The sequence below is a fragment of the Homo sapiens genome, chromosome 1, assembly GCF_000001405.40.
Source record: "Homo sapiens chromosome 1, GRCh38.p14 Primary Assembly".
Lineage (NCBI taxonomy): Eukaryota > Metazoa > Chordata > Mammalia > Primates > Hominidae > Homo > Homo sapiens.
In genome coordinates, this window is record NC_000001.11 from 241,644,698 (window position 1) to 241,671,053 (window position 26,356).

Genomic DNA, 26,356 nt, shown 5'->3' on the forward strand with positions numbered 1-26,356 from the left:
TAGGATTATTCAAAATAGCCAAAAAATAGAAACAACTCAAATGCCCATCAACAGATGAATGATACATGGAATGTGATATATACATACAATGGAATATTATACAGCCATATTTTAAAAGAAATGAAATTCTAGTACATGCTACAACATGGATGAACCTTGAAAACATTACGATAAGGGAAATAAGCCAAACACAAAAGGACAAATATTATATGATCCCAATGATATGAGGTACCTATAACAGGCAAATTCACAGAGACAGAAAGTAGAATGGTGGTTACCAGAAGCTGAGAAGAGGGAAGAATAAGAAGTTAGTGTTTAATGGGTAGAGAGTTTCTGTTTAAGATGACGAAAAAATTCTGGAGACGAATAGTAGTAATGGTTGCACAAGATTGTAAATGTACACAATGCCACTGAATGGTATACTTAAAAATGGTTAGAAAGGAAAATTTTATGTTATGTATATTTTACCACTTTTTTTTTTAAAAAAAGAAAAAAGCATGTGCAAATTGTGCCTGCATTTCACTCTCTCAGAGTGGGAGAAATAAACTACTATAACCAGTTGAGGAAGCAAGCTGAACTCAGTATGCTGCAACCAAAAAGCAGCTTGTTCTCCCTACTCATTTCAAATGTTTTCTGACCATTTGCTCCTTCCTGCCCTTAGATGGAATTTTGGCAGCTTCCAAAGCTTTTCTGCTCCCTTGCAGTTGACATCAAGGCCAGCACATTGTAATGCTGAAAAGCTAAAACTCACGGAAAACTCGCTTGTCCACACCCTCCAAGATACAGCCAGCCTCAGGCCTGGAGAACTTCTGTGAGGGTGGAGGTGAGAAGGAAAACAACTTTAGCTTCCCCCATTTTCTTGATCCGCTCGCTACCTGTAGATGCTGCTCTGGGCCCCTTTGAGATTGTGAGGGAAAAAAAATCTTCCTTGATTGGTTAAGTTGTAGTCTGATATTGGTGCTCTCTGCCAGGCACGGTGGCTCACGCCTGTAATCCCAGCACTTTGGGAGGCCGAGATGGGCAGATCACTTGAGGTCAGGAGTTCGAGACCAGCCTGGCCAACATGGTGAAATCCTATCTCTACTAAAAATATGAAAATTAGCCAGGTGAGGTGGCATGCACCTGTAATCCCAGCTACTCAGGAGGCTGAGTCAGAAGAATCACTTGAACCCAGGAGACAGCAATCCAGCCTGGGCAACAGATTGCAACTTTGTCTTTTAAAAATAATTGATATTAGTGCTCTCTGGTTGTAGCAAGTTTTAAATGTTGGGTTTTTCTCTTCTAGGATGATTTTCAGGTTCTCTAGAGAAATTGAGATCTCTGGCATCTTTCTCACACAACTCTCTCGACAGAGGCAATGCCTTTAGTAGCTGTCTGCTGGGATCTCACTCTCTGACCCTGCTTGGGGACCCTCCCAAGCTGACCCAGTCTGGCCCCTCTACTGAGAGTCTAGCGTCTGTTCCTCTGTACATATGTATGCATCTTTTGCCCTGCCAAATTCTGGAAGTGGTCTGCTGCAGAGAGCTGGCCAGCCCCAGACTCTCCCTGTCAGTGCCCCTGGGATGGAAAGAAATGGGGAGATGTCATGGCTCCTCCATGCTGAACACTCTCTCTGTGGAAGTGCTCATTAAGGATATCCTTGAGCTCCTAATGAACTCGTTGCCTTCTCTTAAATAGTTTGAAGGTGAGCAGGAGCTAATGCTTGCGGAACTGGTTCCCAGTGACTGCACACATCCTCCCGCGTGGGCCGTCTAGCCTGTCCTTTAGACAGAAAGAGGTTCATTTAAAACCCTCTAAACACCCTCTTACATTGGAACATTAAATTATCACAATACCTATATTCCAAGGAAGTCCTTTGCAAAGTATAGGGGAGCGAGGAATGGAGACACGTTTCATTTGACATTCTTGTTTGGAAACTGATAACCCCTAGCCTTCTGCATCATAAGGGGACAACAGAGAGGGAACTTCCATCAAGCATTCCTTTTCCCAGGGTTGAGACACATTCTTCCCTGGCCCCTCTAACCTTGGTCTCTGGTGAGCAGCAGAAGAGCCCTTACTGAAAATCTTGTGAAACATGTATGCACTTTTCCTACCTTAGGAAATGCAATTTAGTGGATGTGCTTGAACTTTTTTTTAAAAAAAGGAGAATCTAGCATGCCTTAAGTTTCTGAATGTCAATGCTCCTGGTGCATACAGCTCCTCAGATGGGTGAGATGTAGGGATCAGCTTAATACATAAACTGTGTATCTGTCCACATCCACTCAACCCCCAAATACATACATTTGTTTTTAAAATAAAATCTCACTTGTTACATTGCTGTTAAAAAATGGAGTTTATGGCTGGGCACAGTGACTCATACCTGTAATCCCAGCACTTTGGGAGGCTGAGGCGGACGGATCACGAGGTCAGGAGATCGAGACCATCCTGGCTAACATGGTGAAACCCCGTCTCTACAGAAAAAATTAGCCGGGCGTGGTAGCAGGCACCTGTAGTCCCAGCTACTCAGGAGGCTGAGGCGGGAGAATGGCGTGAACCCAGGAGGTGGAGCTTGCAGTGAGCCGAGATCGCGCCACTGCACTCCAGCCTGGGTGACAGAGCAGGACTCCGTCTTAAAAAAAAAAAATGCAGTTTACATGACAGAGGAGGTAGGGAAGAGTAAACAATTTCCAGAAGAAACTGGTTAGTGAAGTTATGATTAATTTACATATATATATATATCTCCACACCAACACCCATTATAGTGGAAGTTTGGTACACTGGGGTCAAAGAGAACATTTATAAGTTTCCTGAGGGAGGAAGATTAAAACAAGCTATGGACAAAGCATCAGGGATCAGAATAGCTTATAATCAGCAACGGAAGCTGATCAGAATACAGTCCTTCTAACAGCAACACTAGAAGCAAAAAGACAATGGAGTAATATCTTCAAAATATTTAAAGAAAATAATTTCCAACCTAAAATTCTGTACCCAACCAAATATCAACAAAGTGCAAGGAAAGATCAGGATGTTTTCAGATATGCAACTATCAAAAACATATCTATCTTCCAGGCCCTATTTCTGAATATGAGTCACCAAAATGAGGGAATAAATCATGGTGAGGAAAGACATAGTATATAAGCTTGAGGATGAGGGAATTCTCAAAATGATGATGAAGGGGGATGGTAGCAGGACAGCCATGCCCCTGTGTGTATAAGGCATCAGTCCAGACTGCAGGGATATGACTCAAGAGACAGCCGTGTTGAGGAGTGTGGTCACCAAGATGGCTTCTGCTCTTGTGTCATCTTTTTATTCTGAAAATGTAAGGGTGAGCCTTGCCCAGATTCTTAACAGTACCTGGTCACCAAGGGCCATGTACTGTTGAAGCTCCTGCCTACCTCTTTGTCCCCTGCCATAGGCATTAGCTGAGTATACTCATTTCACCGCAAAGGAGTTCTTCATTGATTTATCCTGGAAACTGGAGTTGGCCATCATGAACCCAGAAGCAGAAAATCCAGAGCAACCTATTGCTCCAATAGCATTTCTGCCAGATGACTGGTACCAGGCCTACACAACAGACCAGCTGAGGACCCAACCATGGGCCTTGTGTCATGGTAGCACTCCTTCCTCATACGGGCCCTTATAACATTCATGGAAGCTGAAGCCAAACTAACTCACAGCAATTATTCCACCTGCTTTTTTCTAGAGTCTTTTTCTGACAGTGCCAATATCATTTCTTTGTTTACACAGCTAGGTGTGTGTTTGCCTCTGGCTCTTTAAAATGACTGCCTTTCATGGTCATTTATATGTAAAAAATAATAAAATAGCAAAATACTTCATTGAGAAAAATAGGTATTAAAGAAAAATATACACTTATGAAGGACATTAGAAACACAGGGACAGGTTTATGAAGTTGTACATTAAAATTTAAATAATGTGCATAGTTCTGTTGAAACTAAAATTATCAAAGTATGTGGTCTGGGCTTAGAAGGCAATTTTCTAAAATTAATAGTTTTGTAAGAGTGTAGGAACATGAGTGATTTTCAATGTTCTTTAAATCTGTGGCCACATCATTTCCGCAACCGAGAAAATATAAGCACAAATGCATCCGGTAGCTCTATAAATGACCATAATAGCTGTGACTTGCTCCTGCATATAACAGCAAAGATGTTCCCAAAAGCTTCTGCCATAATGTGCATTTATACCTACTATCAACACGTCTCCTCCTCCTACTCTGTTTAGCCCACCATTCCACTGAGGTAGGCTTTCTCAAGGTCACTAGCATCCACGTTCCAATGGTTAATTTTCAGTCCTCATCTTACGTAGGCCCTCAGCAGTACTTGGCAAGGTTGACTGCTCCTTCATACTTTAATGCTTATCCATAGATATTTCAGTATCTGGTTCTAAAATACAACATCACATAAATAACAGTGCTATGGTCCAAACGTTTATGTCCCCCCGAAATTCATATGTTGAAACCTAACTCCAAGGTGATGGTACTAAGAGTTGGAACCTTTCGGAGGTCATTAGGTCATGAGGGTTTCACCCCCATAAATGGGATTAGTGCCTTCATGACAGGGCTTGAGGGGACCTGTTTGTCCCTTCCACCATATGAGGACACCTAAAAGGCACCATCTATGAGGAACAGGCCCTCACTAGATACAGAATCTGCTGGAGCCTTGATTTTGGACTTCCCAGCCTTCAGAACTGGGAGAAATTTCTGTTGTTGATAAATTATCCAGTCCAAGGCATTTTGTTATAGCAGCAGGAATGGACTAAGACAAACAATATAACATAAAATATAATTATTAAATCTAAACAATGAACAATAATTTATTATTATCATCAAATATCTACTTGGCGTTCCAATTTCCAATTGTCTCATGTATTTTAAACTCTTTTTAAGTTTGGTTGTTGAGTCAAGATCTAAATACAGTCCACACACTGTGGTTGGATGGTGTTTCTTTAAAGTCCTTTTTAATCTATAGCTCCCCTCCTCCTTCCTTTTGTCTTCCTATGCAATTTCTTTATTGAATAAACTGGATTATCCATCCAGTGGCTCTTTCCTTTTCAAAACAGCTTTTCTTCTTGGCTTCTAGGATGATCCTTTCTCTTGGTTCTCCTTGTACCTCACTAGCCACTCCTATTTACTCAGTGGTTCTTCTTGATCACTCTGCCCTCCCAACACTGGCATGCTCAGGGTTTGATCCTCACCTTGCCTTCTTCTTTATCTGCATTGATTCCCAGGTGATCTCATCCAGCCTAATGGCTTTAAATACAATGCCGTCTGAATGCTGATGACTCCCAAGCTCTCCCCTGAACCCTGGATTCTTACGTCTGGTTATTCAACATCCACAATTGTTTATCTAATAGAATTCTCAAACTTAACATATCCTGAACTGAATCCTAATTTCCCCCACTCCCCACAATCTGCTCCTTCTATTGGATTCCTCCCTCCCAAACATAGGAAATTATAATTCCATCCTTTTGATTTCTTAGGGCCAGGATCCCTGGAGTTGTCCCTGATCCTTCTCTTGCTCTCATACCCCCATCTGATCTATTAGCACACCTGTCACATCTACCTTCACACAATCTGACCACTTCGCACAACCTCCGTCACTAGTGCCCTAATCTCAACCACTGTCATCTCTTACTTGCATTACTGAAATTTCCACTTAACTGCCTTCCCGGCTTCTACCCTCTCTCCCTTTCAGTTTATTCTCCGCAAAGCAGCTGGAATGATTCTTTTCAAATGCACGTCAGATCATGTCACTGTTCTGCTCAAAAACATCCCATCTCAGAGTAAAAGCCAAAGTCCTAAAACAGCCAATAAGATCCTACGTGATCTGGATGCCACCCCCTGACTCTCTTGCCTTCTCTCTCTACCTCTCTCTCTCATCCCACACCACCTCAGTCACACTGGCCTCTGTCGTTTCTCAGATATGTGAAGCACACACCAATCTCAGGACTTTACGCCTGCTGTCCCTAGAACATCCTTCTACCATTTATCCACATGACTTGCTACCTCACTTCTTTCAGGTTTCTGCCCAGAAATCTTTCTATTAATGGGGAATTCCCTGATCTCCCTACCTCTTTTACTTTGATTTTTACCCCCACCCTAATACACACAAAATTCCTCTCTCTTCGTAGCACAATTGCTCACTGATACATTATTTATTTGTTTGTCTGTCTTCTGCATTAGTCTATAAACTTGAGAAGCTATTTTATTCACTGCTGTATCCTTAGTGTCTAAAACAGCCTCTAGCATGAAGTGTGTATTCAGTAAATATTTCCTAGATGAATTAATGGTGAATGCATTAGAATTGTAGGAAGAGTGGTTCTCCAGACATCACTGTACAGTGGTTTGAAAGCTTTAAAGGAAAAAGGAGGAGAAACAAATGGGGTTGGGGGATTTTTCTTTAAATAAAATCTTACTGCGCTCTCCTAACAGATAGTTAGAGGTGGACACCAAGAAGACAGTACTGGAATTGGAGGTGCTCTGAAATGCCATCTGCTTCATCTCTGAATGCAAGTTCTTGAAGAATGTTTTAAAAGATGGACTACCAAGGGGTAGGAAATTTATCTAACTCACCTAAGCCATAGGAAGTTAACTAATTGTTGAGAAACATTAAACAACTTCTCCTTCCCATAAAAAGTTGAAAATTGGAAAACCGGAGTCAATAGCATTTGGACTAAGTCGGATTGGAGATTGCAATGACTGGGAAGGAGATGTGCAGAAAGGCCTCTTCTAATTCATCTGACCTCTTACCTTGAAAAGCTGTCCTCATAATCAGAAGCCACTCCTTCCTTATCCTTGGCTCACTTTATTATTTCAATCGAAGGACAATGCACAAAGGAAGAAGAGCATTTGTATTCCCTATGACCTCTAAAAATGTTTGTGGTAGAAATGACAGGTGCTGAAATACATTTCATCTTTAGAAGTTCGAATTTCCATATCCAGTACAGTGGCAAGAATAAGTGTGAATATTACTTTTTTTTTTTTTTGAGAGGAAGTCTCACTCTGTCACCCAGGTTGGAGTGCAGTGGTGTGATCTCAACTCACTGTAACCTCTGACTCCCAGGTTCAAGTGATTCTCTTGCCTCAGCCTCCTGAGTAGCTGAGATCACAGGTGCCCGCCACCACATCCAGCTAATTTTTGTATTTTTAGTAGAGACGGGGGTTTCACCATGTTGGCCAGGCTGGTCTTGAACTCCTGACCTCAGGTGGTCCACCCACCTCGGCCTCCCAAAGTGCTGGGATTACAAGAATGAGCCGCCGTGCCTGGCCAAACTTTACTTTCCGCGGTATTGTGAGGAAGGCAAAAGGTTTGAGGTGAGAAGAGATACACGAGGGAGAAAGTATTACCCAGTTTTCTTACTTGTTATTTACTCATTCCTTTTCCCTCTCAAGCAGTATACACAACACACACATGTGCACGCGCACACACACACACAGTCTGTGGGGAAAAAAATATCTCAATCTCCTCCTTATGAAGGAAGTAGGATGTTACAGAGATATTATGATGCAATGAGGACCCTATGAAGGACACTGATGACATTGTGAGGTCAGGATTTTTACTGAAATGTTTGTCTGTATGAAATGCATCAGACCTAAATCAGCTTTCCTCCCTGCTAACATCCTAGTGGCAACTCTTACTCCTACCCGCACTATGGGATTTTAAGATCAAAGGAATTAGACCTAGGGCAAAAACTGAGACAGCAGGGAGGCACTGTAACAACTGGAAAGTTTTCCAAATTGGTAAACTTGCAGTATTCTTTCTGTACAGAAGTAAAAGATCCCCTATGTCCCTATGGATATCAGGAAGGAAAAGCGTCTCAACATGGCACTTCAGATGAGCAATTTCAAAAAGGCTTTGAACAGGTTTGAAAAATTGGTTGAACAAACAGCAGCCCAGAAAAGAGATGAAAGAGCAGGCTTATTTATCCATAAAGAAGGTAAGATCAGTGATTACACGATAGTCCAATTGGGTCTGTTGGTTAGAACTGGAAAATGTTTTAAGCCATCAGAGAGAAGCATCAGAGCTTAATGTGAAAGAATGGGTGCTGAAAGGGGATGAAGACCTCAGTTCTTGTTCTTTCTCTGTCCCTAAATAACAAAGCGGACATGAGGAAGCTTTTGTTTTGTTTTGTTTTTGTTTTTGTTTTTTTTTTTTACTTCTCTGAACCGAAGTTGCTTCAATTGTAAAACTATGGGATTGGATTAAATGACGTCCAGTGTTCTTCTGTAGACGCTGCCATTTGATGGCTCACTGGTTGACCTGGGATGCTCAGTAATGTATAGCACTGCTTTTTCTTAGCCTAAAGATATCATGAGACCATAAAGACTTTCATAAGAAGTGCAGCTTCCTGCCTCACCATGATTCCATTGTCTTGGCCACTCTCCATATCTCTAGGCAGGAATGATCTTGAGGATGCAAGCTAAGGAGAATATGGTGGACAGTGGTCTTACAGGAGGATTTGCAGCAGAGATGCCAGTGCATAGACAAGATTCAAGGGGAGTGGTGTAGTGTACAGCTTTGGCGTATTGAGGACAGCTGTGAAAAATAAAGCTACATGGCAGAGTGAAAGACTAACAGAACAAACCCTGCTGTTGCAATGAAAGGAGCAGAGCCCATATAATTGCTAAAGGGATAGTATAGCCAGCCTCTGAGTGTGCCAGGCTGCATAGTAATTTGTAAGTGAAAATCTTGACTTTGGGTGTTCAAACCCAAGCTGGTATTAATTGAATAGTATTTAATAATTTATAGTCATGTTAATCAATGTCATTATGTTCATTTTATTTGTGGAAAAAATGGGAGCTGAAGATAAATCATTTGCCCAAGTTACCCAAATTCTTTTCTTTTCTTTTCTTTTTTTTTTTTTTTCTGAGACGGAGTTTCATTCCTATTGCCCAGGCTGGAGTGAAATGGTGCGATCTCGGCTCTCTGCAACCTCTGCCTCCCAGGTTCAAGTGATTCTCCTGCCTCAGCCTCCCAAGTAGCTGGGATTACAGGCACCCACCACCACACCCGGCTAATTTTTTGTATTTTTAGTAGAGACGGGGTTTCACCATGTTGGCCAGGCTGGTCTTGAACTCTTGACCTCAGGTGATCCACCTGCCATGGCCTCCCAAAGTGCTGGGATTACAGGTGTGAGCCACCGTGCCCGGCCAAAGTCACCCAACTTCTAAGTGTTAAAGCTAAGACTTGGACCTTTTGGATATGCTTTTTCGGTGATTGGGAACTTGACTGGGCCTTCTAAACTACTCAACAAAACTTGCATTTTTTCCTAGTCAGTTTGTTTTACCTCTCTCTAATTGGTTTTTCAAACCCTTGACACTTTTTCTGAATTCTCTATGGGATGTCTGCTTCTCTCAGCCAAGTTTTCTACGTCATAAAAGAAAGCAAGGTCAAAAGACAAGAATTCTCTCAAACCCCCCTTTTCCACTTCTGAATCACTGAAAGCAGCAGCTGTCCTTTCTATTTCTCCTCCCCTTCAAAGCTATCAGTTTGCTGCAGCAGCTTCAAAATCTCCTTTTCTACTGGATTTGTCCTCTCAGTCTAAAAATATACTCAAGCATCATGACCTTGACTTTCTCTTTTCTTTAAGCTACCACTGTATGCCTCTCCTTTCCTTCTCCACTGAATTTCCTGACAATATCACCACTTAACTTTCAATCTACTCAGGTCTGGCTTCTCTGATCACTTTGCTGAAAATGCTCTAACCAAGCTATGTGATAAGCTAATATAGTTGCCAAATTCAATAAATTGTTTTCATTTTCCAGCCTACTTGGCCATTGCACTAGATTAACACTGTTAGCTGCCTCTGCTTCAAGAAACTTCCTTATCCTGCGTCTTTCATCACATCATTCTTATTTTTCCCATCTCAATTCTTTCTTTGCTTCTTTTTCTCCTTGAGCTTTGCCTACTGTGTTCTCTCTCAGTCTTAGAGCATAGCTACCATCTAACTAGTTTCCTAAGCCAGATATCTTGGTATAGGCTGTATAGGCTGAGCATCCCTGATCCCAAAATCCAAAATCTAAAATGCTCCAAAATTCAAAACTTTTTGAGAGCTGACATGAGATAGGGGCATATTAATATTTGCTTTCTGATGATTCAATGCATACAAACTTTGTTTCATGCACAGAATTATTAAAACTATTGTATAAAATTACCTCCAGGCTATATGTATAAGGGGTGTATATTAAGTGTAAATAAATTTTGTGTTTAAACTTGTGTCCTATTCCCAAGATATCTCACTATGTACAGTATATGTAAATATCCCAAAATCTGAAAAAAATCCATAATCTGAAACACTTCTAGTTCGAAGTATTTTGGATAATGGATACTCAAACTCTGTAACCTTTCACTATGTCATGGTATCTATCTCTTGGCTTATTACAACAGCCTATTACTGTAATAGTCTTCTTGGCCAGGCGCGGTGGCTCACGCCTATAATCTCAGCACTTTGGGAGGCCAAGGTGGGCGGATCACGAAGTCAGGAGTTCAAGACCAGCCTTGCCAACATGATGAAACCCTGTCTCTACTAAAAATACAAAAATTAGCTGGGCATGGTGACGTGTGCCTGTAGTCCCAGCTACTCGGGAGGCTAAGCCAGGAGAATTGCTTGAACCAGGACCCGGGAGGCAGAGGTTGCAGTGAGCCAAGATCGCACCACTGCACTCCAGCCTGGGCTACAGAGAGAGACTCTGTCCCCCCTCACCCCCCAAAAAATAGTCTTTTTGCCAAGTTAATCATTTCTCTATACTTCTGCCAAGAGTTTTTCATTTTAAAAATTATCAATGTGCCATATTCCTGGTTTATTAGCTCACCTCTAAAATCCACATATACTAACAAAGCATGCAAGGTCATTCACAGCTTGCCTCAGCCCAGCTTTTCAGTCTCAACTCCTGGCATTTCCCTTCATGCACCTTCTGCCCTAAAACAAACTTCTTGGCATTTCCAAACATGCTCTTAATGACTCTGATTTTGCGCATGTCATTCCCCAATATGGAGTGCCTTTTTTTCTTTTCTTTTTTTTTTTTTGATGCCTGTAAACTCTTCCTCATCTTTCAAGACCCAAATCAAATGTCACCTCTTTGTAAAAACTTCTGAACTTTCCCTAAGCAAAGCCATCCTCAGCACTGTTCATGCACTTTATTGCCATCTCGGGGAATTTACCTGCTTCATTTAACCTGCTAAAGTTGATATTAATGTGTTCATTCGTTCCTGCCCCTTATCCTCCACCATTGGCCTGTGGTTGTTTTGAAGGCTTTGTGAACCTCAGGCTGGCACAGGGCCTGGTGTCCAGAAGGTACTCCTTCAATGTGTTCTAAATGCACAAGTTGACCTTGCTCTCATTAAGAAACTTGCAATCACAAAGCCACACTGAAAATTTCCTTTCTCTATAGTTTTCAAGATTTGATGAAAACTGCATACTGCTAGACAAGTTACCTTCTATCACGGGGCGGCCTAAGAAAGAGTGAGGAGAAGGCAGAAATGTCATCTTCACTTTTGTCAGGCTGTTAATAATGTCTGGCACAAATTCATATTTATTAACCAATATTGGAAAATAAGGTCTCCCTCTCACTATTACAGGCAAGGAACTAAGAACTAGAGAGAATGTTTTTAATGGAACAGGGTCTGCCTCAGAAATGATATCAAGTAGATTGAAGGAATTTGTTCAAAAGTAATGCTCTTAGATCTTGTGAGTGACCTGGGGGAATTAATTTTATCCCAGGACAAAGAAAGTCTCATTATCCTCATCCAGTGATATTTACAATGAAACTCATATCTTGTAGCAGTTGGTGTAAATAAATATAAAACAGCTAAGGAACTGTTCAGATGCCTCATGAGAATTTCTGACTCAATATTACCAAAATAGAGTGCTTTATTTTCCCCAACAATCTTCTTCCCATTGCCTTGCTTTTGGTAAATAGATCAACATTTGCTGAGTTTTGAAACTGGAAACCTGAGTGTCATTCTAGAACCAGGTATCTTAACCTTGGCACTACTGATGTTTTGGCTAAATAATTATTTGTATATGTGTGCGTGTGTGGAGTTGGGGGCCTAGGGTGGGGGCTGTCTTGTGCATTGTAGGATGTTAAGCAGCGTCCTTGGCCTCTACTCACTAGATGCCAGTAGCACACCTACTCCTAGTTGTGACAGTCAAAAATGTCTCAAGTCTTTGCCAAATGTTGTGTGTGTGTGTGTGTGTGTGTGTGTGTGTGTGTGTGTGTCTGTCTGGGGATGGAGGTGAGGTGCAAAATCTCCCCTGCATAAGAACCACTGCTCTAGATTCCTGCCTTTCCTTTGCTTACCACTTCTGCCCCCAAAACTTCCAACCCACTAGCATATCTTTACAATTCTACTACTTCCAACCATATATTACCATCTCCACTACTATCTCTAGGGTGCCTGTATTCTAGGGTGCCACTTACCATCCAACTGGGGACACTTTCAAGACTGAAAGGGAATGTTATTAATAATTTTAAAAAGAGGCATAAACGAGACTTTCCATGGCAGCCCAGGATGTGCAGTCACCCTCAGTGTTACCCTGGCCCAAACCTCCATTTTCTGAAGCCTACACTAGTGCAATTGCCCTCCACTAGTTTTACGTCTTTCCATCTGGCCTCCTAGCAGCAGCAAGTGTGCTTTAAAATTTTTTAAGGGCATATTATATCATTTCACCCCATAAAACACCCCAAAGACATCTTACCATCATGCTTAAAATAAAATACCCGCTTCTGACTCTAGCTCTGCCCTCCTTCGCCCCTGGTCTCACCTCACAGCATTTTCCGCAGTCCTCACTGTAGGTACCTCATACCTACTGACCTTCTTGGAACATGCCAAGCCTGTGCAGCCACAGGCCTTCGTGTTGATCAGCCTCTGCCTAAAAGGCTCTTGTCTAGCTTTCTATGTGGCTGACCCTTTTTTTGCTCATCAGGTCTCAGCTTAATTCTTTTACCCACCTCCTTAAAGAGGCCTTCCCTGAGGTCTACCCCTACCTGCCACCACCATACAATTTTATCACAGCTCCCTACTGCTTTCCTTTTTTGTGCTTATTCTACAACAACTTGTTTATTTTAACTTCGTTACTGAGCTTGACATACATATAATAAAGCCCATAAAATGTACTCTTCTGAAGGAGGTAGCTCTGTAAACTTGAACCTTGGTAAACACACCTTTAGCCACCATCCAGATCAAGACAGGGAACATTTCTAGCATCCCAGAAAGTTCCCTCATGCCTTTTGCAGCAATACTGCTTTTCACCTTATACACAGGTAACCACTGATGTAATGTCTATCTTTATTAATTAGCCTTGCCTGTCACAATCTGTAAATAGTTTGTTCACTTGATACTTTTCTGATTTCCTGCTATAATATAAGCTCCCTGAGGGCAGGGATCTTGCTTATCTAATTTTCTATTCTAAGCCCAATGTCTGGCTCAGTTCTTACACATAACAGATACTCATATTTTTAACTAAATAAAACCATCTGATCTTGTCTATACAGTTTGAGAAAGCCTCACATCTAATTCCTTCTTGTCCTTAGATTCAATAGTCTTACCCCAGGGAATTACGAAATTTGACAAAATCAAGATTCAAGCAATGGTGTGTGTGTGTGTGTGTGTGTGTGTGTGTATGTGTTTACATAGAGTTTAAGAACCAGTTAAGAATTGCTCACCAGGCACAGTGGCTCACATCTGTAATCCCAGCACTTTGGGAGGCTGAAGTGGGAGGATCGCTTGAAGCTAGGAGTCTGAGACCAGCCTGGGCTGTAACATAGTGAGACCCTGTCTCTGCAAAAAATAAAATATTAGGTGGGTGTGGTGGTGGGTGCCTGTAGTCCCAGCTACTTGGGGGGTTGAGCTGGGAGGATCACTTGATCCTGGGAGGTAAAAGCTGCAGTGAGTCATGATTGTGCCACTGCACTCCAGCCTGAGTGACAGAGCAAGATCCTGTCTCAAAAAAAAAAAAAAAAAAAAGAATTGCTGTTTGCTCACTTCCACCTTCCGCTCAAGATGAATTCTACCAAAGACTCCAATGGTGAAACTTTTTACAACAGGAAAAAGGCAATTCATTCTTGAATTTTTGCATTCCTGAACAAAACTCCTAAAATATCTTAAACAGAAACCACAGAGAATGTATCAAACACCACAGTAAAATATTTTCTTCTTATTTAGTAATATTTTAGCCAAAGGACTGATTATGTTTGTAAACACAAGATCTTTTTTTTTTTTTTAAGTTCAGGGGTACGTGTGCAGGATGTGCAGGTCTGTTACATAGGTAAACATGTGCCATGGTAGTTTGCTGCACAGATCATCCCATCACCAGGTATCAAGCCCAATATCCATTAGCTATTCTTCCTCATGCTCTCCCTCCACACCCCCACAACCCTATGACAGGCCCCACTGGGTGTTTTTAGCCACCATGTGTCCTTGTGTTCTCATCATTCAGCTCCTACATACAAGTGAGAACATGTGGTATTTGGTTTTCTGTTCCTGCGTTAGTTTGCTAAAGATAATGGCCTCCAGATCCACGCATGTCCCTGCAAAGGACATGATCTCATTCCTTTTTATGGCTGCATAGTATTCCATGGTGTATATATACCACATTTTCTTTATCCAGTCTATCATTGATGGGCATTTGTATTGATTCCATATCTTTGCTATTGGGAACAGTGCTGCAATGAGCATATGCATGCATGTATCTTTATAATAGAATGATTTTTATTCCTTTGGGTATATACTCAGTAATGGGATTGCTGGGTCAAATGGTATTTCTGCCTCTAGGTCTTTGAGGAATCACCACACTGTCTTCCACAATCGTTGAACTAATTTACACTTCCATCAACAGTGTAAAAGCCTTCCTTTTTCTCCCCAACCTCGCCAGCATCTGTTGTATTTTGACTTTTCAATAGTAGCCATTCTGACTGGTATAAGATATTATCTCATTGTGATTTTGATTTGCATTTGTGTAATGACCAGTGATGATGAGCTTTTTTTCATATATTTGTTGGCCACATGAATGTCTTCTCTGAGAAGTGTTCGTTCATGTCCTTTGCCCACTTTTAATGAGGTTGTTCATTTTTTTCTTGTAAATTTGCTTAAGTTCCTTGTAGATGCTGGATATTAGACCTTTGTCAGATGGATAGATTGCAAAAATTTTCTCCCTTCTGTAGGTTGTCTGTTCACTCCGATGATAGTTTCTTTTGCTGTGCAGAAGCTCTTAAGTTTAATTAGATCCCATTTGTCAATTTTTGCTTTTGTTGCAATTGCTTTTGGTATCTTCATCATGAAATCTTTGTCTGTGACTCTGTCCTGAATGGAATTGCCTAGATTTTCTTCTAGAGTTTTTATAGTTTTGGGTTTTACATTTAAGTCTTTAATCCATCCTGAGTTGATTTTTGTAAATGGTATAAGGAAGGGGTCCAGTTTCAATTTCCTACACGTGGCTATCCAGTCCTCTCCTCCCAGCACCATTTGTTAAATAGGGAATCCTTTCCCCATTGCTTGTTTTTGTCAGGTTTGTAGAAAATCAGATCGTTGTAGGTGTGCAGTCTTATTTTTGGGTTCTCTATTCTGTTCCATTGGTCTGAGTGTGTGTTCTTCTACCAGTACCATGCTTTGGGTTACTCCAGCCTTATAGTATAGTTTGAAGTCAGGTAGTGTGATGCCTCCAGCTTTGTTCTTTTTGCTTAGGATTGTGCAAAGACAAGGTCTTTAAAATGCAAATATATCTGGTTTTTATAGATTGAGAAAAGAAAATACAAGGTGAGGAAATAAAAAATGTAGCTGAAATACAAAAGGTAGTCCTTGGAATTTGATGAAAATGGACTGTACTTTTTTCAATGCAGATGCAATTGGTTATGACAAGTTTTATGCATCGGTACAGAAGCTCTTTGGTCCAGATGTGAAGAATCAAGATGTGAAACGCTTTTACAGGAAACTGTGCAACAACACGGATGCATCTGCAGACTGGTGTGAGGTAGACTCATTTCATGTTCATAATATGAAATCCAGGTATTATTTTTCTAAGTTTGGAATAAATAATTAAAACAAAGTGTTACTGCCACAGGGGTTGAACCACAACGTGCATGTGTCAGTTTCAATACCTACACCCATTAGGACATGGCCACTGCCCACAAATGAAAGTGGGTAAAGTAGGTAACTATTTAGCTGTATTATTAATAAACAACTCTTAAATCCTTTCAGACCAAGCTGCCAGTAGGAAGAGCTATACATGCCTCTAACAACAACCAAGATTTTAATGGTCGTCATTTCACTTTATATGAGATATTTCTTTTCAATGGGTTCAATGTACACAAATTTTCAGTGCATCCAAATTATTAATATAAGAGAAGAGGCTACAATTGACTACCTGTTATATTCCCTGAGTTGTTTTCTGATCACCATGGTATTTATTCTTAAAAAAATTACACATATCCATACAGAGAAATTAAATAATTTTTATAAATTATCTGGTTCTTTAAAAAAAAAATAGAAATAGTAGACAAAAGAAAAAGTAAGAATCTAAGGGATTTGAATACCACATTTTATAAGCCGATGGATATGTATAAGGAGAATTTAAACCTAAGACACAGGAAAAATACATCTCTCTCAAATATATATGGAGCCATCTCAAAATTGACCACATTAGGCTAAAAAGAAAATATTAATAAATTATGATATAATAAATTAGAAGCCTAAAATAAAAGATAGCCAAATCCCCCACATCACCCAAATAAAAAACAAATTAATTAATTTTAGGAAAAAATTGCAAATGAAAAAAGTTTCTACAAAGTCTTTGAGGAATATTTAATTCCCATGTTGTATGCATGTTTCTATAATGTAGGAAAAGCTGAAAAGCTATCCAGCTCACTTTATGAAGCTAAAATAACACTGAATTGAACATAGACAAAATGTCAGGGAACTATAAGACAATTTTACTCATAAATATAAATTCTAAACTCCTAAATAAAATGTTAACAAGTTGAATCCTGCAGTGCAGGATTCAAGTACAATTTACCCCAGCAAAGTAAAGGTGGTTCAATATTAGAAAAGCCAGAAACGTACTTCATTTAACAAGTCAGGGGAGAAAAAATAATATGCTAATGTCAATCCAAGGTCAGCAAACTAAGGCCTATGGGCCAAATCTGGATAGACAGCCACCTTTGTTGTGAATAAAGTTTACTGGAACACAGCAATGCTCACTCATTCACAAACTGGCCACGGTTGCTTCTGTGCTACAATAGGAGAATTACATAGTTTTGATAGAGGCTGAATGGCCTGCAGGCCTAAAATATTTACTACCTAGCCCTTTTCGAAAAATGTTTGCAGACTTCCAACCTTAAAGTAAAATTAAAAGTAAAAAAAGATGTCTAATAAGAATTCAATAGCCATCCTTGCTTTAAAAAGAAAAACAATCTAGCGGAATAGAAATAATAGAAAATTCCATTAATTTGAGAAAGGAAACTGACTGCATTAGGATTCTACTGCTACTGTACTAAATTATCATAAATTTAGCAATGAGAAGAAATATATATCATAGTTTGCATGGATCAGGAGTCTGGGACAGCTTCACTGGGTCCCTCTGCTCGGGGTATCATAAAGCTGCAATCAAGGTGTTGGCAAAGCTGGGTTCTCATTTGGAAGCTCTGCTAGGGAAGAATCTGCTCCTAAGCTCATTCAGGTTGTTGGCAGAATTCAATGCCTTGCCGTTGTAAGTCTCAAGGCCTCAGCTTCTTGTTGACTGGAGGCTGCAAGCGTCCCTCTTGTCCTAGAAGCTGCCTGCAGCCCCCACCGTGTGGCCCTCTATACTGGCAGTTCACAACTTTGCATTTTCAAGGCCAGCAGGAGAATTTTTCCCTCCATAGTCTGATAAGAGGAAATTTTATATAATGTAACATAATCATGGGAGAAACAGCTCATCATATTTGTCATATTCTCTTAGTTAGAAGTAAGTCACAGTTTCCACCATATTTAAGGGATAGAGATTATACAAAAGTGTGACTTGTGTGTCTGGGAGGGAAGAGGAGGACATTTTAGAATAGGTCCACCATAGAGACTTACCAGAAACATATTTGAGCAAGGATCATATTTATTGCTGAAATACTGGACACAACCCCATTAAAATCAAGAACGAGAAAAGGATGCCTATTCACCACTAATCTTCGACACTTTATTGGAGGTTGTAAGCAATGCAAACAGAAGGGAAAAGGGCAAGAAATGGAATTGATATGTAATCAATTATTTAAAAATACAAAATTCTCATTATTTGTGGATATTCTACCAAGAATATCCAATAGAATTATATGGCAAACTATTAGAACTGAGAGGGTTCAAAAGAGTTCATAAAAGATACATGGAAGAATCAATAATTTCCATGAACACCAGCAATAACCACCCCTCTCTCTCACCAAAACTAACTAGGAAATAAAAAGATTCCACTCACAAAAGCAACAAATAGGAGAAAGTATCATGGGATAACTCTATTGAAAAAAGACAGCAGAATAATAATTGAGAGGCTTAGTTTGTAAAGATACCAACTGTTCCCGAATTGACTTAAAGTTTAATCTCAGGCTCCTTGCTGTTTCACACGGAAATGTGAAGACAAGGGGAGAGCTGGCCCTGACCCCCGTCCCTTCTTTTGCCATTACTGGCTCCATCTTACATCATGAGGGGCCATGTGCTCACATATGGGCACCCCGGCCCACATGTCTAAGCTCTTCCATACCTTCACCTCCACAAACACTATCCCTTGGCCACCCCCTCAGAACTAGAGGTGTACACACCAGTGGTGTGCAACCCACCCTCATATGGTGGATAAGAGGCTTCACAGGCCTGAAAGTAGACTTGGCCCCTTTGGGGAGAGAATTCTGGGGTTCGAAGAATCTAGGGCATAGTTTAAAAGCATTGTTATGGACCCCTGGTAGACGATGGCCCATTAGCTTCCACAGAAAAAACTAGAGTGGGGCCTTCCAAAGCTGTGCTGTCCGACAAAGTGGCCACTAGCCACATGTGCTATTTACATTTAAATTAAATTAGAAATTCAGCTCCACAGTTGCACTAGTTACATTTCAAGTGCTTGATGTTCACATGTGGCTAGGGGCTATTGTATTATACAGGACAGATTACAGAATATGTCCATCATTGCAGAAAGTTCAACTGGACAGCACCACTCTGAAGACATAGGCCCCTTGGCCTGGGCCTAAAAGCAACACTGCAGATGGAATCATAGCTATTTTTTTTGTTGCTTTTTGTTTTTGTTTTTTTTTCTAGATATACTGATTCAATAAAGTAGAAGACATAAATGTATTTAACAAGAGCTCTTAGCCACCCAAAGATTTTTGAGAAATCAAATGAAGGGTGAAACAGTCAGCTACTCTGCAGCCACACAGAAATGATTGTTTTTTTCCTAAATTGTGTAAGTGTACAACATGAATGCATTGTTTTGTTTTTTGTTCCAGGATCTAATCTCTATCACACTTTGTAAACCCTGCGGATATTCCCCCATAGATCGGTAACTTGAATGCAATGTCATTAAACTTGGGATAGATGTGATTTTGAGAATCAGGTTTTCTCACTGTTCTCTATTTTCTTATGAATATTTCTCAAACACTCAGTGGTTTATATGCATGAATTTCTAATGCAATCATTTTGGGCCACTTAAAATATGAAAATGTGTGTCTAACCAATGTTTCACGTCAATATAAAAAAATTATGAACATTTGGAAATTAGAAAAGTCTGTTCATATTTTATTACACACTTAGATTCAGAAAAGCAACGCTCTAAAGATAGCCCATAAATGCCAACAAATGAGACAAAGCACTCTGTGATAAATCCATTTACATGGAATTCTACAGTAACTGAGAATTTGGTCTCTGAATGAAATACTAAAGTAAATCAGATTTTTTTTTGTTTGTTTTACAGATGAGGAAATCAAGCCTCATTGTCTCTGACATCTGCTCCTCTTTCCCTTTCTAGCTAGAACATCATAATCTTCCTTCATTTGTAAAATGTCTTCTTTTATTCAAGCACGTTCTTTTCAGGTTCTCATTTAATCTTCACAATAGCCACGCAATGTAGATTATGGAGGATACATTATTGAAATGATAAAGATGAGAAAAATCACAAAAAGGTTAATTGACTTATCTAAAGCTGGACAGAAAGTCTGTTTTGGTCTTGGGACTGAGATTTTTCTCCCTCTTTATGTAGTAAGTTCATGTGACATTATCCTGGGGCCAGGTGCGGTGTCTAATGCCTATAATCCCAGCACTTTGAGAGGCCAAGGCAGGAGGATTGCTTGAGCCCAGGAGTTTGAGACCAGGCTGGGCAACATGGTAAGACCCTGTCTCTATGAAGAAGAAGAAGGAGAAGGAGAAGGAGAGAGAAGAAGAAGACTTTAAAAAAACAAAACATATGACATTATTCTGTTACATCACTTGGGTTCCTATAAATCGTATGCAAGTTTAATAGAAAAACTCATGGCCAGCTTCTGGCACACTGTATGTATATAAAGAATGACTTGAGATTTAAAAAAAAATGGGGCAGGAATGTTCTTCTTTTATTGTCCTGTCATTTTTCTCACAAATTATTTGTGTCAGTGCTCCTAAGGGGCATTTCTATTTCAAGCCATGTGAGCTAAACTTTCTGGGCTTCAGATCCATCATCTGTAAAATGGAAATTCAATTCGAGGAGACTAACTTCATTTCAGTATGGATTACCTAGTGTTTTCTTAATCAGTTGATATTAATCTTATCAGGTAATAAAAACACGATTTATTCTTTTAAACTCAGGCACAGACATACCAATCTTGTTCCAAATATAAATCTCTTTGTGGTAGCAATGCCACAAAAGTTTCACCTTCTTTTTCAAGATTTTTTGATGCAAAGACACTCGGAGAATTTGAAATTCATAGAATAATGAAATCTTATAACTCACCTAAACATTATCTAGACCTGCTCCTTCAATTTATAATGAAAAAAATTTAATGTAAAGAGATCAAAAGAAATATGACTGCCTTAAGTTTATAAAGCTAGTTAATGGAAAAGTCTGGTGCAGACACAGTCTACTTTTCTTACAATGTCATGTTAGTCTGGGTTTCCAGTGGGCAACTTATAAACACATTTTTTTAGGAGCACACTACAAATTAATCCAAAGAAGAGGCATACCACACCATATGGAATGCCTATAATTATGTTCCCTCCCAAAAGTGAATTTAAAGTGTATTATTATAAATCTAAAATTATATTTGCTAACTTCAAAAATGTTAAAAGAATGTTCCAGGATAGGTTAAAAAATAAGCTGCATGCAGGTTTTTATTTTCTTCTATTGGCTTTTTTATTTTCTCCATATGTTCTACAATGAACATATGTTCCTTATATAATCAGATAAAAATGAAGTTAAAAATGAATCACTTAAAGCATGGAGCAAGACTTTTAAATAGCATAGTTAAAATAAAATTAACACTCTAATAGTCATAATATATATATAAGTGATAAAATACTCAAATCTTGTCACAGGCAACATTACTACACTGAAACTGAAAAGGTCGAAAGAGAAATTTGAGATCGTAGAGGCTATGGCTCATCACAGGAGAAACGGGTATTTGCTGCTCTTTAACAGCATTATTTGCTTGAGACATTTCCTTTCAAAATGCAAAACTTTCACTGTTGCTTCTGAAGGAGTTTATCTGGTATAATACCCAAATTTTTCTCAATAAATTCAAGTAATTTGATATTTTTCGTATCCTTTGGAAGTTATTTTTTGGTAAGCATTGTAATAGTGTGTTATTTACAAGTGAAAGTAACAAAATTTATTATTGTCGTAAGAGCATATGTCCACAGTCTGCCATCTACCTACATGTAGATGTGGTTATCAAATATATGCATGCTAAAATGCATAGCTGATGTGTTGTTTGGGTAAGTAACAAAAATGCTTAGTGCACAGTTTTAAATTAGCGAGGAAGATACTTGAATTCTGTTTCCTGTACTGTCTCTGGAAAAATCAGGAATTACAGTTACTGAAATGTTGACATTGATTGAGCTCCTACTGGGGACTTGGTGCAATCTAAGTACTTGCTAATCTTTCTCATTACTAAGCAATCTAATCATGCACTTCCTCAGTTAATCCTTACAACAGAGCATAACATGGGGATTATTACTGATTATCCTTATTTTACACACGGGAAAGACTCAAGTACAGAGAAACTAAGGATCTTGCTTGAGGTCATGTGACTAGTAGACAGTAGAACCAAGATTTGGACCCATGACCAATTCCTGAAGCACTGAATACTTCCTTGCATAGGACATTGCTCCTGAATTTCTTCACATCTGTTCTTAGACACCTGATGCCTTGGCACTATCCCCACAAAAATTAAAATAAAGTTAAACGACTGTCTGTAAATTGCTCTTTGAGTATGGGTATCATTGACGTAGGAGACATAATTTCAAATTAGATGATAGCATGTATGGTGTGGAGTTCTCCCATCTCTGATAAACATTGGAATTCATTAATGTAGAAACAAAGAATCATCATCACCATTATCATTACACATTCTCTGAAAATTATTATTTCACACTATTCTCTGAGGTTAAATTTGCTGCCAATGTTTATCAATTGTCTACTTTGCGTAAGTCCTTTAAATTGTACCAAGTTGTGTTTATAAAATGAGGGTGTGACTGGCGGAATTCTGAAGGTGCCCGTCTTCCCCAAGATTCCTGTCCCCTGGTTATTCCATCAAACATGAACATAGACACTGCTGGGAAGGAGCTTTGGAGATGGAATTAAGGTACTAATCAGTTAACCTTAATATAAGAAAATTATCCTGGATTATCTAGGTGGGTTCAAACTCCTCATATGAGTCCTTAGAAACAGAAGAGGAAGAAAGAAGAGATTCCAAGCATGATGGGGGACTTGAAGTTCCATTGCTGTTGCTGAGACATAGGAGGGCCCATGTACTAGGACTAGATAGAGACCTCTAGGAGCTAAGGGCAGTACAAGCTGACAGCCAGCTCAGAACAGGCCTTCAGACCAACAATCCCAATGAGCTTGGAAGTAGATTCTTTCCTGAAAGTCTCCAGCAAAGAATGCATCTCTACTGACACCTTCATATTAGGAAAATGAGAGCCATACTGGACTTCAAACCTACTGAACTGACAGCCAATAAGTGGAAACCATTGTTGTTTTAAATTGCTACTGTTGTAATTTGTTTCAGCAGCAATAGAAAACTAATTCATAGAGGAAAAGTGTCAAAGTTCAATAAACGTATGTCTGTTGTTACAACCAACAGAAAACAAAATGTAGCTAGAAGAGGAATTCAAACTCAACAGCAATGTAAGGAGGTGCAGCACTTGGAGAAGGAAGCTAGAGAAGACAAAAGCAAAAATAGGACGCAGGTTTACTGTATTATCTGTAATTGACTTCGGAAGGTGTTTTTGTATTTTTGTTTTTAAGATGGGAGAGATCTGTACTTGTCTGAATGCTGAAAGGAAAAGTCAGTAGAAAGAAAGATGTTGAAGATTCTGGGGAAAGTAAAAGAAGACACCCTTTGAGCTGGGCGCGGCAGCTCACGCCTGTAATCCCAGCACTTTGGGAGGCCGAGGGGGGCGGATCACGAGGTCAGGAGTTCGAGACCAGCCTGGCCAATAGGGTGAAACCTCATCTCTACTAAAAATACAAAAATTAGCTGGGTGTGGTGGCAGGATTGTGGAAATATATGATTGAGGTGACAGACCACCAATTCTAAACTGGGTGAGAAAGGAAGCACTAACCACAGGGAAATGACAGGTTAGGAAGGAATTTCCCTCTCAGGGTCTGATTGTCTGTAGGAGTCATATAACTTTCCCAGCAAAGTTTCATACACTATCAATTTACCGAAGTGCCCACCTGACTAATCTTAGAAAAAAACAGTCTCATCCTTTAGTGGACTGATGGTTTTAAAATACTACCCTTGGCCAGGTGTGGTGGCTCACACCTGTAATCCCAGCACTTTGGGAGGCTGAGGTGGGCAGATCACAGGGTCAGGAGGTCAAGACCAGCATGGCCAATATGGTGAAACTCCATCTCTACTAAAAATACAAAAATTAGCCAGGCATGATGGCACAGGCCTATGGTTCCAGCTACTCGGGCAGGAGAATTGCTTGAACACAGGAGGCGGAGGTTGCAGTGAGTCGAGATCACACCACTGCACTCCAGCCTGGGTGACAGGGCAAGACTCCGTCAAAAAAAAAAAAAAATACCCTTAAAGACAGCCTACTGTTCTCATTAGAGGCTGTGGTCTGGATTAACATATCATTTATTTTTCTCTCCCATGAGGCCTTCTCAATGTAGGCTTTCCAACGATAACAATAGCTAATGTTTTAAAACGATTACTATATGCCGGGCACACTGCAAAATGCTCATTTTGACATGACCTGATGCCATCCATTATGTCATTTAAACCTCAACAAAACAAAACGAAAACAAAATTCAAAGGTTTGTTCTTTTATTCTACTGATGAGGAAGTTAAGACTTCAGAAGGTGAAGGTATTTTTCCAAGTAATGACTATCAATTCATTGTACAGTCTGAACCCTGACCCTGGACCACCTGACTCCACAGCACATGCTCTTTGCCATGAAGCGGTATTGTGGGTTCGAATGATATAGGGCTGAGGTACAGATTGATACATAATTGTTAACTGAATAATGCATAAATTAATGATGACAAAGATTGCAGTAACAAAACCTTCCTGTCCACTCCAACATAGATCTATTAATTTTCCTTTTCTTTTCTCAGTCCTTCAGAGGGAATTAGATATTAAACCTAGAGGGTTTTGTACCCATAAAAAATGAGCAATGATTTCTGAGAAGATAATAAGCTTTTATTGAGTGCTAATTTTGCTGGTGGGAAAAAGGGAAAATACAAGCAAGTCTCGATGAGCCTGATTTTCCCACAGAAGGGAATCTAACTGTGGGGAATAATTAGGGCAATTGTATGTTGGGAGGTTTGAATGTGGGGGAATGTACATGAAGAAGTAGTAACATTTGTGAAGCAACTGATGACAGGACATATATTAAAATATTAATATAATGTTAAGCCATCATCTAGCATCTAAATCAATATTATTAAAACAAAATGGCACATTGCTGGTTTTGATTTATTTCCAGTTCAGTCATTTAGTCACTAGTTCCTTTAAACTCAAAGTAGTCTCTCATGAAAAGCTTGTTAGAAATGCAGATTCTCAGACCCACTCCAGACCTACTGAAGCCAAATCTGCATTTTAACAAGATATCCGGGTGGCTAGTATGCACAGTGAAATTTCAAAAGGATTCCTCAGTTCATTTCGTGCATTCAACTTTATGAGAAATACTGATATACTAATTATATAACTTTTATAAGCATTTTATTAATTTCAAAATTTAAATACATAATTATTTTTAAGTTCGCTCATTAATTTATAAGAATTTTATTTCTGTTGGTTAATAAGACAAAGAACAGCTATCTTATTTTCTTCATTTTTCAGAGTTATATAATTCGACAGTTTATTCACAAATAAGAACTCTTTTCTTCCTCACAATTTTTTTTTCATGGTAATTTATTCTCACGCAATGCCTACAGAGTAGGATTTGGAACACTTAAAGCAACTCTTAAGTTCCCACCAACAGGCATAAAAACTCCCCCAACAGGGATAAAGAAAAAAAAAATCTAGCCCTGAAAAATTCATGGAAAATGGGTAAGACAGTCATTTGAGAGTGGCCAAAGTCAGTGTCAAAGTTCTTAGCTGGGGCCCTGCATGATGAGGACTGATTTGATTTCCAAGTAAGTGCCAGCTCCGAATAGATCTATCAGTCTGAGTGTCAGTTCTATTGAAAAGAAAAATCAGTAACCGCTCAAAAATCATGCATTATCAGTATACAGTTTGTTGAATATATTAAACCAGGGGTCCTCAACCCCACCAGTCCATGGACTGTTAGGAACTGGGCCGCACAGCAGGAGGTGATCAGTGGGGGAGAGAGCATCACTGCCTGAGCTCCGCCTCCTCTCAGATCAGCAGTGGCACTAGATCCTCACAGAAGCGTCAGCCCTGTTGTGAACTGTGTATGCAAGGGATCTAGATTGCATGCTCCTTATGAGAATCTAGTGCCTGATGATCTGAGGTGGAAGAGTTTCATCCCGAAAGCATCCCCTGCCCTGGTCCGTGGAAAAAGTGTCTTCCATGAAACTGGTGCCTGGTGTCAAGAAGGTTGGGGACTGCTGTATTAAACTGTCTCCTGGTATAGGGAACCCCCTGACATTCACAAAGCAGGGTGCTGGCTGTTAATCCTAACTAGCTTTAAATTCAGCCAACATGAGATCTGCTACTTTATAGCTAATTCTGAGGCATGCTGCATATTTATA

General features: G+C 39.7%; 1 protein-coding gene and 1 long non-coding RNA gene across 6 annotated transcripts in view; one reads left to right on the plus strand and one right to left on the minus strand.

The window, feature by feature from the left end:
• The first annotated feature begins 7,583 nt into the window (after positions 1-7,583).
• Positions 7,584-26,356, plus strand: part of WDR64 (WD repeat domain 64) — a 150,497-nt gene continuing 131,724 nt past the window's right edge. For 4 of the 5 annotated variants that reach the window (NM_001367482.1, XM_011544087.3, XM_011544091.2 and 1 more), the window contains exons 1-2: positions 7,584-7,932; positions 15,833-15,963. In NM_001367482.1, coding sequence (NP_001354411.1) covers positions 7,788-7,932; positions 15,833-15,963 — 276 coding nt within the window. In that variant the 5' untranslated portion in view covers positions 7,584-7,787. Of the gene's footprint in view, positions 7,933-15,832; positions 15,964-19,256; positions 19,402-26,356 lie in introns of those variants that run through there. The other variant, XM_017000315.2, reaches the window with a different exon arrangement.
• Positions 15,927-26,356, minus strand: part of LOC124904603 (uncharacterized) — an 81,624-nt gene continuing 71,194 nt past the window's right edge. The window contains exon 3 of the long non-coding RNA XR_007067055.1: positions 15,927-16,009. This is a non-coding gene — a long non-coding RNA (uncharacterized LOC124904603). The remainder of the gene's footprint in view (positions 16,010-26,356) is intronic.